We start from the raw sequence: 12,331 nt of genomic DNA on the forward strand, positions 1-12,331 counted from the left end.
TAGGTTTTAGTGAGATGGTAAGGGGTGCATGATCGGTCGCCAAGGAGGGAGTAGAGGTATCTTATACTTGTGGGTTAAGGTGGGGGGATACAAGAGGAAGACGCAAAGGAGGCTTTGGATTGGGAAGAATGGCGGAATGAGATATAGCTGTAGTCCAGGAGTAGACAGGGAAGCCGATAATTTAGTCAAAGTGTCTCAGCCTAATAAGGGAACTGGGCAGGTGGGGATAACTAAAAAGGAGTGCTTAAAAGAGTACTGTCTAAGTTGGCACCAGAGTTGGGGAGTTTTAAGAGGTTTAGAAGCCTGGCCGTCAATACCTACAACAGTTATGGAGGCAAGGGAAACAGGCCCTTGAAAAGAAGGTAATGTGGAGTGGGTAGCTTCCATATTGATTAACACGGGGACGGACTTACCTTCCAGTGTGAGAGTTACCCGAAGCTCCGCGTCCGTGATGGTCTAGGGGGCTTCCGAGGTGATCGGGCAGTGTCGGTCTTCAGCCGCTAAGCCGAGAAGGAGTCAGAGAGACTTAGGCCAGAGTTCCGGGGGCTCTGCGAGTGGCTGCCAGGTGAGTTGAACAGTCCGATTTCCAGAGGGGTCCTACACAGATGGGACACGGCTTAGGAGGAATCCTGGGCTGCAGGCATTCCTTGGCCTGGTGGTCAGATTTCTGGCACTTGTAGGAAGCTCCTGGGAGAGGAGGTTCTGGAGGAACACCTGGCGGCTGCGGTTCAGGTGTTTGGAAGTTCTTGTGTGCTGGAGATGTGGCTGGGGTTTGTCTCACAGTGGAGGCAAGGAATTGCAACTTTTTTCTATTATTGTACACCTTGAAGGCGAGGTTAATTAAATCTTGTTGTGGGGTTTGAGGGCCGGAATTTAATTTTTGGAGTTTTATTTAATGTCGGGAGCAGATTGGGTAATAAAATGTATATTAAGAATAAGACGGCCTTTTGACCTTTTAGGGTCTAGGGCTATAAAGTGTCTCAGGGTTGCTGCCGAACGAGCCATGAACTGGGCTGGGTTTTTATATTTGATGACAAAGAGCCTAAACGCTATCTGATTTGGGATAAAGAAAAAGGAGCATTAACCTTGACTATGCCTTTAGCTCCAGCCACCTTTTTAAGGATAAATTGCTGGGCAGGTGGGGGAGGGCTAGTCACAGAAGGAAACTGTAAGCCGGACTAGGCGTGAGGAGGGGAGGCGATAAAATGATTATAGGGTGGAGGAGCGGAGGCTGAGGAAGAATTGGGACCTAGCTCGGCCTGTCGAGGAGGGGAGAGGTCAGATGGGTCTGTAGAAAAGGAAGATTAGAAAGACTTAGCGACGCTTGGGGTTGGTACTGAGGGGACAGGCGGGAGGGAAAGAAGGAAGATTTGGGTCAAGTTGCACTGGACACAGAGACTAGGAAGGGACTGATGTGTAAAAGAATGCCTGGACGTCAGGCACCTCAGACCATTTGCCCATTTGACGACAGTTTGTATTGGGGTCAAGCGGCATTGCAGAAGAAAATAAGACATTTAGGTTTTAGGTCAGGTATGAGTTGAAGAGGTTTTAAATTTTTGAGAACACAGGCTAAGGGAGAAGGAGGAGGAATGGAAGGTGGAAGCTTACCTATAGTGAAGGAGGCAAGCCCAGAGAAAAGAGTAGAGACACGGAGGAGGGGTTGCAGGGGGGTGGTTCTTGCCCTCCAGAAAAGCAGAGAAGGGGTAGGGGCATGGAAATAAGGGATTGGGGCACAGAGATAAGAGGTTGGGGTGTGGAAATAAGCGATTGGGGGTTCTTGCCCCCTAGGAAACTGGGACTTGCCGCTAAGGGTGAAGGAGAAGGGGTTGAGGGGTACTTGCCCCTGCCCCAGGAAAGCGGGACTTGCCGCTAAGGGTGAAGGACCAAGGCAGGCGTCCCTGCGTGGTCTGACACCCTTGAAACGTGAGTGTAAAATCAGAGAGGCGTCCCTGCAATGATTAAACACCAAGGGAAGGCTGCCTTCCCAGTCGGTGACCGGTGCCGGAGTTTTGGGTTCACGGATAAAACATGTCTCTTTTGTCTCTACCAGAAAATGAAAGGAATTGAAATTAAGATAAGGGAGAGACTGAAGTGTGGCGCCAAGATTGAAAGGAGAAAGAGGTTGAGGGATAGTGAGGGAGGTTGGAGAAGAGAGTAAAAAGAGGCCGCTTACCGGATTTGAAATTGGTGAGATGTTTCTTGGGCTGGTTGGTCTGAGGACCTGAGATGGTAGGTGGATCTTTCTCACGGAGCAAAGAGCAGGAGGACAGGGGATTGATCTCCTAAGGGAGGTCCCCCGATCCGAGTCATGGCACCAAATTTCATGCGCGTCCGTGTGAAGAGACCACCAAACAGGCTTTGTGTGAGCAACATGGCTGTTTATTTCACCTGGGTGCAGGCGGGCTGAGTCCGAAAAGAGAGTCAGCGAAGGGAGATAAGGGTGGGGCCGTTTTATAGGATTTGGGTAGGTAAAGGAAAATTACAGTTAAAGGGAGTTTGTTCTCTGGCGGGTAGGAGTGGGGGTGGCAAGGTGCTCAGTGGGTGCTTTTTGAGCCAGGATGAGTCAAGAGAAGGAATTTCACAAGGTAATGTCATCACTTAAGGCAAGGACTGGCCATTTACACTTCTTTTGTGGTGGAATGTCATCAGTTAAGGTGGGGCAGGGCATATTCACTTCTTTTGTGATTCTTCAGTTACTTCAGGCCATCTGGGCTTATACGTGCAAGTCACAGGGGATACGATGGCTTGGCTTGGGCTCAGAGGCCTGACAGTAGCCCCACCCAGGAGTTGACTCAGTGCAACAGGGCAGCTTCAACTCTGGTTTCATCTCCAACCTAACCAATCAGCACTCCTGACTCACTGGCCCCTCACCCACCAAGTTATCCTTAAAAACTCTGATCCTTGAATGCCGGAGGAGACTGATTTCAGTAATAATAAAACTCCAGTCTCCTCCACAGCCAGCTCTAAGTGAATAACTCTGTCTCTATTGCAATTCCCCTGTCTTCATACATTGGCTCTGTCTAGGCAGCAGGCAAGGTGAATCTATTGAGTGGTTACAGTAACAATACCATAACAAAGGCACAAGAAAAGGCTACATGGCTGTTTTAAAATGTAGATTCTATTCTTCTTGTGAACAGATCAGGAGTTGACTGCTGTTGAAAAGAGATTTTAGTGTGCTCAGATCCCAATACAAGGGGCCATGACACACCATGGGGCTGGAGGCACACGGGAAGCACCAGGGTTATTCAAGAGACAGATGGAGTGGAGGAAAATGTGAGCAGGAGTCTTTATTGTGGTTTCTGAAGGAAGACAGGAGAGATGGGGTAAGCAGGTTTTAAATGGGCTAGTGTGAATAATTTTGGTGGGCTCTGGGATCTTGGGGCTGTCCCTAGTTGGTCATGGGGTGATTAAGGCATGGGAATAATGGCCCACAGTGCACAAGCCCAATAAAGGTCGTTGGGGCTTTGGGCTCTGGATTGGTTAATTTGCATATGAAAGGCATGCTCCTGGTGATATCTCTAGGAATTAGCTAGTCCTGGGAAGGGCAGTCCTTTCAAGGTCAGCAAGGCCCCAAGGGGTCAAAACGTTAAAAATACAGAATTAAAAGACATGATTAATACAGTGGCTCAAAACATAGGAAGCCCAGAAGTGAACAAGTCCAAGTATGTTTTCAATTCTGAGCATACCCCCAATCCACTTGTTGTCTTTCACAGCTTTCTATTTGCTTCTTCAACAGCACTAACCACTAGTGTTTTCTGTTTGTTTACATGTTTCTTGCCTGTGTATCTCACTACATTGTCAGCTCCAGGAAGGCAAGAAATTTGCTTGTCTGGTTTTCTGCACTAGTCCTAATTGCTGACACAGTGCCTGAGACACAATGGATACTCAATAAACATTTGTTGAACAAATGAGTGAAAACAATAGTGTTTGATGGTTATCTGTGTATGCATAATATGATTTGCATGTACACACACATACATACTACTATTCATATATGTATATGTATGTGGATATTTGTGGGTGCTTTTGAGTTGATGTTTTTCATGTACATTCCAGTCAAGACTGCATGGCTGGCTGACTACTAGATAGACCCAACAGAAATCTATTTGCCCAGGGGTCTCAGGAATCTCCTGGAAAGAACTTGCCCTCTAGGACCAGCAGAGAAGCCTGATACAGTACCAATCATTTCAGAGGTTAAAAGAGAGAAGCATTTCTGCATGTATAATGCTATATTTCACCTGAGGAGGCCTCGGTCCTATCCCTCATGGATTTATAACTTGGCTTTTATAAGAAGTCAGTTTAGAAACTGGAAAACCTATTTTTTATTGAAAGCGCTACAATATTTTAGGATGCTGTGTCAGTCAGAGTCCAGCCAAAAAGTTAAAACCATACCAAGTGACCACACAGAAAGAATTCAACATGTAGGGTAATTTACAAAGTGCTAGAAATGCAGTTAAAGCAACCAAGCAGAAGATGAATCAACTCTGAGATTAGAAAATGCAGAAAGTTGTTACTCCTTCTAGGTCAGGAAGGACAGTGATGAGAAGGTGGGGTCTAGGAGCTGGGGCCATGCAGTAAAAGCTGGAACAATGTTGGCCTGTGTGGCACAGGGGGAACCACAGATAAAGGACCTTTCCAAAAGGAGATGAGCCTTGGAGAGGGTGCAGCCACTACCCATGATAGCTCCTGAATTGGAGAGAGGGAGACATATCCCTTCTCCTTTTCTCTCTCTCTCCACTCTTTCACCTGTGCCTTCCCCTGGCTTAACTTAATCAGATGCAGTTGGCAAGGAAGCCTGGAAGCAAGGAAGCCTGGAAACCACATTTTAAAAAGTCAACTTTCTATAATACAGAGCCAGGAATGAAAGTGAAGAGAAAGGATTTAAAAGCAAGCAAACAAATTTGAGGGCAGCACTGGTTTAGTATTCCAAAAGAGACCATAATAAAAAACTAAAGGGCGTCATTGTGGCAGGCTGGATCTCCACAAGCAACCAAGTCTCCATAAGCCCTTTGCTGTAATGATGAATGTGTAAGTTAAACATTGAAGAACTAGAGAAACTGGTGCCTGAGTAGGAGACCTGGAATGCAGAAACAAACCCGTTAAGACCCTACCTGGGCTTTCTCATCCTCAAACCTGATTGAGTGATAAAAGCATTCATGCACATACAAACCATACCAGGACCCATGTAAAATTAAGAAACTTTCCAGCCCACAGACCACTAGTTAAAGATTAGATTTAGGCTAAGTAGAAATACTCCTGCATATAGGCATAGAGCTTGAAATTCATTTATATATACTAAAGGAAAAACTCATAACTTTTAGTTGGTCTGGTAAATTACTCCGACCTTCTCCCTGTGGCTGGTTACAAAAATAAACTCGCTTCTTTCCCAGTTCACCTGTATCTCATCATTGGACCACGAGAGCAAGCAGCTGGACCCTGTTCCTCCGGCAACGGCATCAATCTTACCACCAACCTTGGCTCTTTGAGGGGCTTGGTATATTAATATCACTGGCATCAGTGGGAATATGTGGGAGAAATGGAAGCAGTACTGGTAGAGAAAGAAGGAGAAGTGGCAGGATTGAGGTGCATGGCAGGCATTCATGGTGTCTTTCATGTAGTTTATAAAGTAGTTTATAAAGTAGCAGAAAGATAAAGAAATGACAGTTACAACATGGTAACATAAAAATTAGTAAAATGTGACATAAATTAGATATTAATTTTGGTTTGGCATAGCAGAATGCTCTGTCTGCATAATTTTATTAGATCTTCATTACAATACCACACCCTCAGATGAGGACAAATAAAGCCCCAACCTCTGGCCTTACATCTTAAGGTGTGTTTTCTCAAAATTTTCTGGGTTCCACTTTGGTGGTGGGAATGGCTGGAGCCAGCAGTACCACGTGGCCGGGGAGCCCTGAGCTGGTCCTGTGCCCATATGGACTCCGCTTTCTATTTCACCCCTTCATGGTTCTTTCTTACCCTCTTCCTTGCATGTCGGGCCCACTCGATGCCCCAAAGAACTCCAGGACTTCTGCTCACAAATGAAGTTGTCCTGAGGTCCTGTGGCTGAACCCTGGATCCAGAAAGACAGCCTTGGAAACAAATTACTACTCCTGTAGCCAGTACCTTACAATTACGTATTTTTGAATGATTTTATCGGATTTGATTGCCAAAGAATCTTGCAAAAACAATTTTTTCCCCAAGCTACACACCTTATGGTTGGTTGTGTTATTTATGTTCCCATTTTAGATGAGAGGACCAATATCCTAGATTAAAAATGTCAAATCCAAGATTACACAAACAGTGAAAATTGAATCCCAGGTTTTTCAAAAGACACTCTGATTTTAGATCTTAAGCCTATTATTCTATCCAAAGGCTCAGAGAAGACATGCTCTGAACATACTCAAAGTAACTGACACTGGAAAAGGTAACAGAGGTGTGAAAATCTTACCATAGTAGATGTGTGAGTGGGCTGGGGGCAGGTGAATTCCAGAGAAATGTGGCACTAAATGTCATGAAGCTGACTCTGTATTATACCAGAGTGGCCTCCAGATTGCTTTCACAACTGGGTAGTTCATCAGCTAATGTGATTCTCCAAACTTTAAATGATTAGAAAACTGGGGAAAAATGTAGAAAACCAGAGGAAAACACTCCTTCTAATCCAAATATAAATTCTTCACTTCTTTTCAATGTTCTTCCAGGAGAAGGATTCGTTGGGCTCTTTGCCTTCTGCTTTTATTTCTGTGCAAGGGTTTATGCAAGAGGTACTTGAGAATGCTGTACTGTAGAGCTTTGTTTCTCATGGGAACACACGGGGAAGTGGAAAACCCTCCAAATTGTTTGGTGAGAAAACATAACATTTATCCCTTTCTTTGGTGGGGTGAGTCAAGTGGTAGGGACTAGAATTCAGGTCCTCAATGGGCATATAAATATGTGTGTGCAAAAGCAGCCATCACACTTTGTATGGCAAGTGGAACCACTGGCTTGGTGGATTTTGCTAGATTTTTCTGATTTTTAAACTCCTGAAAAATATCCCAGATAACTGTCATGAAGCTGGTAACTATCTTCCTGCTGGTGACCATCAGCCTTTGTAGTTACTCTGGTAAGTAACTGGAATACATCTGGAATATGTGACATTTCTTTACTTTTCTGTTAATAAGAGCACAACTAGTAAGCCTTGCCTCACTGACAGTGGAATATGGTGGTAGGAATTGTATTTTTTTTTATTTTACTTTTAACTGACACATAATAATTGCACATATTTGCAGGGTTGGAAGAAGTTTTGGAATCACAGAAAATGGTGATGTTGGAAAGTATTTCAGATCCCCACCATCTAAGCTCTAGCCCAATATAAGTATTCTAATACATCCTACATAGGAAGTTAGCCAACTTCCACGGAGGGTCAACAAAGCACATTTCACTGCTGGATATTGGTCACCATTCGTTTTTCTTATTTTCCTCAATTTTGAGTTAAAATTTGACTTTATAATTTCTTTTGTGCTTTTGAACTATATGGAGTCATTCTTGCTATCATCTCCAGTTATCCAATTTGCTAGCTTGGTTCTCCTGAGATAGCTACATTCATCTGTTTATCCACTCAATGGATATTTATTGAATGGCTACAATTTGTTGGGCACTGGATAGGCATTGGAAGATTTAGACATGAAGCAGTCATAAATATTGTTCTTAAGGTGCTACTCTGGTAGGATAGATAGGGCTTCTGCCTAAGTTACTATAATTCTAGACTACTGTAAACGTACTGTGAGATATCCAGATAGAACTCTTTTAGTGTATTGGTGGGTGATTAGTTTAATTTTCAGGTAAGGGTATAGAAGCTGGCTTCTTGGAGGAGAATGGGAACTGATTTATTTTTTTGGAAGGAATCATTGTAACTATCAGGAAGACAGTGTGGGCACATGGGAAAAAGAGATTTCATGATAGCCACTGCTCATTGAGAGAACAGAAGGCTTTGAAGATCTTCTCCCAGGAAGCTGTAAACACATACAGAGAAGATATTTACCAAAATGTCTGAAATAAGAAGTATGGAGATTAATAATGAAAAATTGATTGCCGCCCACACCTACAATGGCAACTTTGGCTTTTGATGTTTATTGAATTTCTGAAGGAATTTGTAACTTCACCAGTTTTGGATATTTCACTGTTCTCTAATGTCCAGGGACAGGTATCTATGGGCAAAGTGGCAGCAGAAAGGAGGTGGGGAAAATAAATACCGCCCCCTCTGGGTGAGAATTTTGGAGGGACAATAGGTGATTGAAAATTTAAAAAAATATATACAGGCTCCATTTTAATAATTTGAATGGGGAAATAATAGGTTTCCAAAGGAAAATAAACTATGGCAGGTCTTAGCCAGTAGGAGGATGTGTGTTCTTACGTGTGTGCTCACATGCATGTGTGCATTTATATATCTGCACATGTTTTTGTAAAAAATACATCGTACATATTTTCCTCAATCTCTACTTTTTCCCACCATTCATCTTCTACGGGAAAGTTATCTTCCTAAAGCCAAAGATATAAAACGTAATTTTCCTATGTAAAAGCCTTGATAGCGCCCCACTGCCCTCAGGAAAAAAAAATCCAAACTCCTTTGTGTGACATCCAACACTTTAAAAAATCTGACCTCACTCAACTTTTGCAGCCTCACTCCCTTTATCTTCCATCCTTTGGTCATAGCCTATTGGAAATCTGCACTCCAGCCTTCTGGGCAGAAGGCTCACCATCCTGTGTATGCACTTTTATCCTAATGGTTCCGTGCCTTTATTGGTCATGTTTCTAAAATGCTTCTCCTCTTCTTTACCTTATGATCCTGACATTTGCCTCAAGACATAGCTCTAACAGCACTTCTGGAAAATTCCTGCAGCACTCTTTCATGTTAGAATTAGTCATCCCTTTCTTGTGTTTCCATGGAGCTTTGTCCATAATGTTAGCATAGCACATGCTACACTGTGGCATACACAGATCTTCTATCACCAACTGGACTGTGTGAAGTCTCTGAATGGGCATCCTTGTCTTATTTGTCTATGTATCTGCACAGACTAGATAGAGTTGGTGCTCAATTATGTTTGTAGCGTTGAGTTGAATTGGTTGGGAGCAGTTTCTTGGGCTGTGGTTGGGTCCATTCCTGTCTTTATGTGGAGATTCACTATAGCATCTCTCCTTTAGCCTCAAAGCTGTGAGCTGTGGAGACAGTCACATACAAAATACCATCGCCTTCAGACAATCACAATGATCTGTTGAATGCTTACGCTGCCAGGGTCAGTTGTAGGCATGGGTGCATTAGCGAAAAAACACACATTCCTTGTTCTCATGGAGCCTCCATTCTAATGAGAAAATAAAGACAATAAAAACAGCAAATGAAGAGTTGCTTTTTTTAGGTAATGGTAAGAAAAAATAAATGACGGAGAGTGACTATGGCCATTGCAGGCTTCTCCGAGGAGGTAATATTTGAAGAGAGACCAAATAATGTGAGAAAGAAAGGTAAGTAGCTAGCTAAGGAAAAAAAGTTCTAGGGAGATGGAACAGCAGGTGCAAAGGGCCAGAGGTAGAAGTTTTCAATGGAAGTAAGATGAGTGGATCTGGAATGGAGCTATTGATGGACACAGGGAAAGAAGATGAGGTCATAGTCTGGGCCCAGATGTGCCTGTCTCACCTGGTTTCTCTTTTTCCTGCAGCTACTGCCTTCCTCATCAACAAAGTGCCCCTTCCTGTTGACAAGTTGGCACCTTTACCTCTGGACAACATTCTTCCCTTTATGGATCCATTAAAGCTTCTTCTGAAAACTCTGGGCATTTCTGTTGAGCACCTTGTGGAGGGGCTAAGGAAGTGTGTAAATGAGCTGGGACCAGAGGCTTCTGAAGCTGTGAAGAAACTGCTGGTAACCACAGCTTGGGAGGCTAATCTGCCAAAGGGGAGGCATACTCACCCTGAATGTCTAGCTCCTCTTCTTGTCCCTTGTAAATGTGCATTTCCACTTTACTGATTATATTCATAGGAAGTTTGCACATCCTGGAATCTCAGGAAAAATACAATTTCTACATTTCTGGGAAGGGTTTTTGAATGATAGTGACATGTGTTATAGTTGTGACAATACCATTTACCACCTTCGTGATTTTGGATGAGACGTAATCACTCTGAGTTTTTGTTTCCCCATCAGTAAAATAGTGGCCAAACAGGACACTGGAAGTGAATATGTTTTGAAACATGCGAATTACATGTAAGCTGCTCTAAATTTTGTTGTCCTTCTACATTTCAGGAGGCGCTATCACACTTGGTGTGACATCAAGATAAAGAGCGGAGGTGGATGGGGATGGAAGATGATGCTCCTATCCTCCCTGCCTGAAACCTGTTCTACCAATTATAGATCAAATGCCCTAAAATGTAGTGACCCGTGAAAAGGACAAATAAAGCAATGAATACATTTTCAGTCGTCCTATTTTTATTTCTGGGGACTCTATTCAGAAGGACGTATCCAGATTAGTTTTCCCTTGGTTCATAAACTCGAGAGAGCCTGTTTTTATAAAGAAAACCTGGAATCTTAAGTAAGACATAATCATTCCTTCTCCTTTCCTTATCTCTAATTTAAACATCTCTATTTTTCCCAAATGTTTTATCTCACGGTGTTTTCAGACCCTTCACTTTCCTATCCCCCATCCTAAATAAATTTTTACATTTAAAAAATGAAAAAATAATTTTCAAAATATTGTCTGATAAGACTAGCATCTTACTAACTTCATTGGTTTGGCTTCTGTTTCACTAGAATGCTAGTTCTTAAGTTTGTAGTTAAGCTATGGCCACTCAATAGCTTTCACCAATCCTTCCACCAAGTTAGGCCTTTACTACATCATCCTTAGGCAAATGGGTGATGAACTATCTTTTCTTTCCTTTACTCTGTCATCTACAGTGATGACAGAATTATCTTTCCAAGGAATTATTCTGGTAATATCATGACGGCCTGTAGAGCAGATTTCAAGCTTCTGAGCATGGCATGCAAGGCTGTTCATGATCTGGCTTTTGGTTACACGTCTAGTCTTCTTATCTACATTCCTTTCTTCACATGCGCTCTACTCCAGCCACACTGAACAGATAACTAAATCCTTTTCCCTCTAACACTCTTACACCTTAATGAAAAATCAAGTTTCTTCCTACCTAGAATGTCTGCCACCATCGACCTTCAGACCTGGCCTGTGTCAGTCTTTGGACTGTTTGCTGTCAGGTCCATTTCCTCCACTTCCCCTGTTCTGCTCTGCTCTGCTCTGCTGTGTGTTGAGGCAGGACAGGAAACATGATACTGATTGCTGCAGCTTGCATTTCTCAGGTTCCCAAATCAGCTGACATTTGGGCTAGGTTCTGCCCCTGGGAGGCGCAGGCAGTAGATAGGAAGTAGGAAAAGAGGAAAACTATTGTATGACCCTTTCTGGCTCTGTATTAGGGAGAAGTCTCTGGAAATGACTGTACCACGTCTGAGCTCCAGGTCCTGCTAGATAGGCCTGCCTTGGTCCCAGCTTTTGCTGGGTGAGTCCAGCCTCTGGGCTCTGGTTACACCACCTCCTTTCTTTTTCTCTCCAGCTGAAGTTAGTGGTTTCCTCCTGTTGTCAGTTTCTGGGTGCCTTACCATCACCTACTTGACTTTTAGCTCTTCTAATGTCTATTCAATCAATTCTTTGCATTACATTCCTTCTGTTGTAAGTACTTTGAGTAGTTTCTGTTTCTTAATTGGTTTCTGACTAAGATGATGTTAAATGTTATCTCTAGGGATATTATCTTAATTTCCTTCCATTGCTTGACTTCCATTTTTTGGCAACTAAAATAGCTTTCACTCTGTGAAATTTCCTACTTTATTTCCTTATTTTACCTATGCCTATAATGATAGATTAGGTTGCCCAGCTGCAGTAATAAATAATCCCAAATCTCAGTGGCTTACGTGCACAGTGTGTCACTTGTTCCTCACAGTATGTGGCCATCTTTGGTTGGCTGTAGCTATGATCAATGTTTTATGAATTCTATACAGGAGCTGATGGAATAGTCTCTCTTGTGCATTTTGCTTATGTTTACAGGGAAAGAGAACTTGGTGAACAATGAGCTAACTCTTAAAGCTTCTTCTTAAAAGTGAAGTATATGACTTCCAATCATGTTTAATTGGCCAGAGCAAGTCATTTGACCATGTTTGACTTCTTTAGGAAGGGGATGTATAATTATCCTATAGGAAAGAGCAGTGCCAAATATGATTAATGTAATGTAATTGACCACATTACTTGATGACTTCAAAGTAATTGTCACCTTAGATGACTCTCATACTTGCAATTTTCTTTTCTAT

The 12,331-nt window shown here is 42.9% G+C and overlaps 1 protein-coding gene across 1 annotated transcript, besides 3 other annotated features; it reads left to right on the forward strand.

Annotated features, from left to right (window-relative positions):
* Positions 1,788-2,453: an enhancer, noted in NCBI's record as "OCT4-NANOG-H3K27ac-H3K4me1 hESC enhancer chr5:147253107-147253772 (GRCh37/hg19 assembly coordinates)". NCBI's record gives its function as "activates a minimal SCP1, AML or CMV promoter by ChIP-STARR-seq in naive and primed H9 embryonic stem cells {active_cell/tissue: H9 hESC(naive and primed)}" and the evidence as "EXISTENCE:reporter gene assay evidence [ECO:0000049][PMID:30033119]".
* Positions 2,454-3,121: an enhancer, noted in NCBI's record as "OCT4-NANOG-H3K27ac hESC enhancer chr5:147253773-147254440 (GRCh37/hg19 assembly coordinates)". NCBI's record gives its function as "activates a minimal SCP1, AML or CMV promoter by ChIP-STARR-seq in naive and primed H9 embryonic stem cells {active_cell/tissue: H9 hESC(naive and primed)}" and the evidence as "EXISTENCE:reporter gene assay evidence [ECO:0000049][PMID:30033119]".
* Positions 3,122-3,787: an enhancer, noted in NCBI's record as "OCT4-NANOG-H3K27ac hESC enhancer chr5:147254441-147255106 (GRCh37/hg19 assembly coordinates)". NCBI's record gives its function as "activates a minimal SCP1, AML or CMV promoter by ChIP-STARR-seq in primed H9 embryonic stem cells {active_cell/tissue: H9 hESC(primed)}" and the evidence as "EXISTENCE:reporter gene assay evidence [ECO:0000049][PMID:30033119]".
* SCGB3A2 (secretoglobin family 3A member 2) lies at positions 6,955-10,435 on the forward strand. The gene is made up of 3 exons (NM_054023.5): positions 6,955-7,102; positions 9,690-9,892; positions 10,271-10,435. The coding sequence occupies exons 1-3, from the start codon at positions 7,048-7,050 to the stop codon at positions 10,292-10,294; spliced, it is 282 nt and encodes a 93-aa protein (NP_473364.1). The 5' UTR covers positions 6,955-7,047; the 3' UTR covers positions 10,295-10,435.

This window comes from Homo sapiens, chromosome 5, assembly GCF_000001405.40.
Source record: "Homo sapiens chromosome 5, GRCh38.p14 Primary Assembly".
NCBI classification, from domain to species: Eukaryota; Metazoa; Chordata; class Mammalia; order Primates; family Hominidae; genus Homo; species Homo sapiens.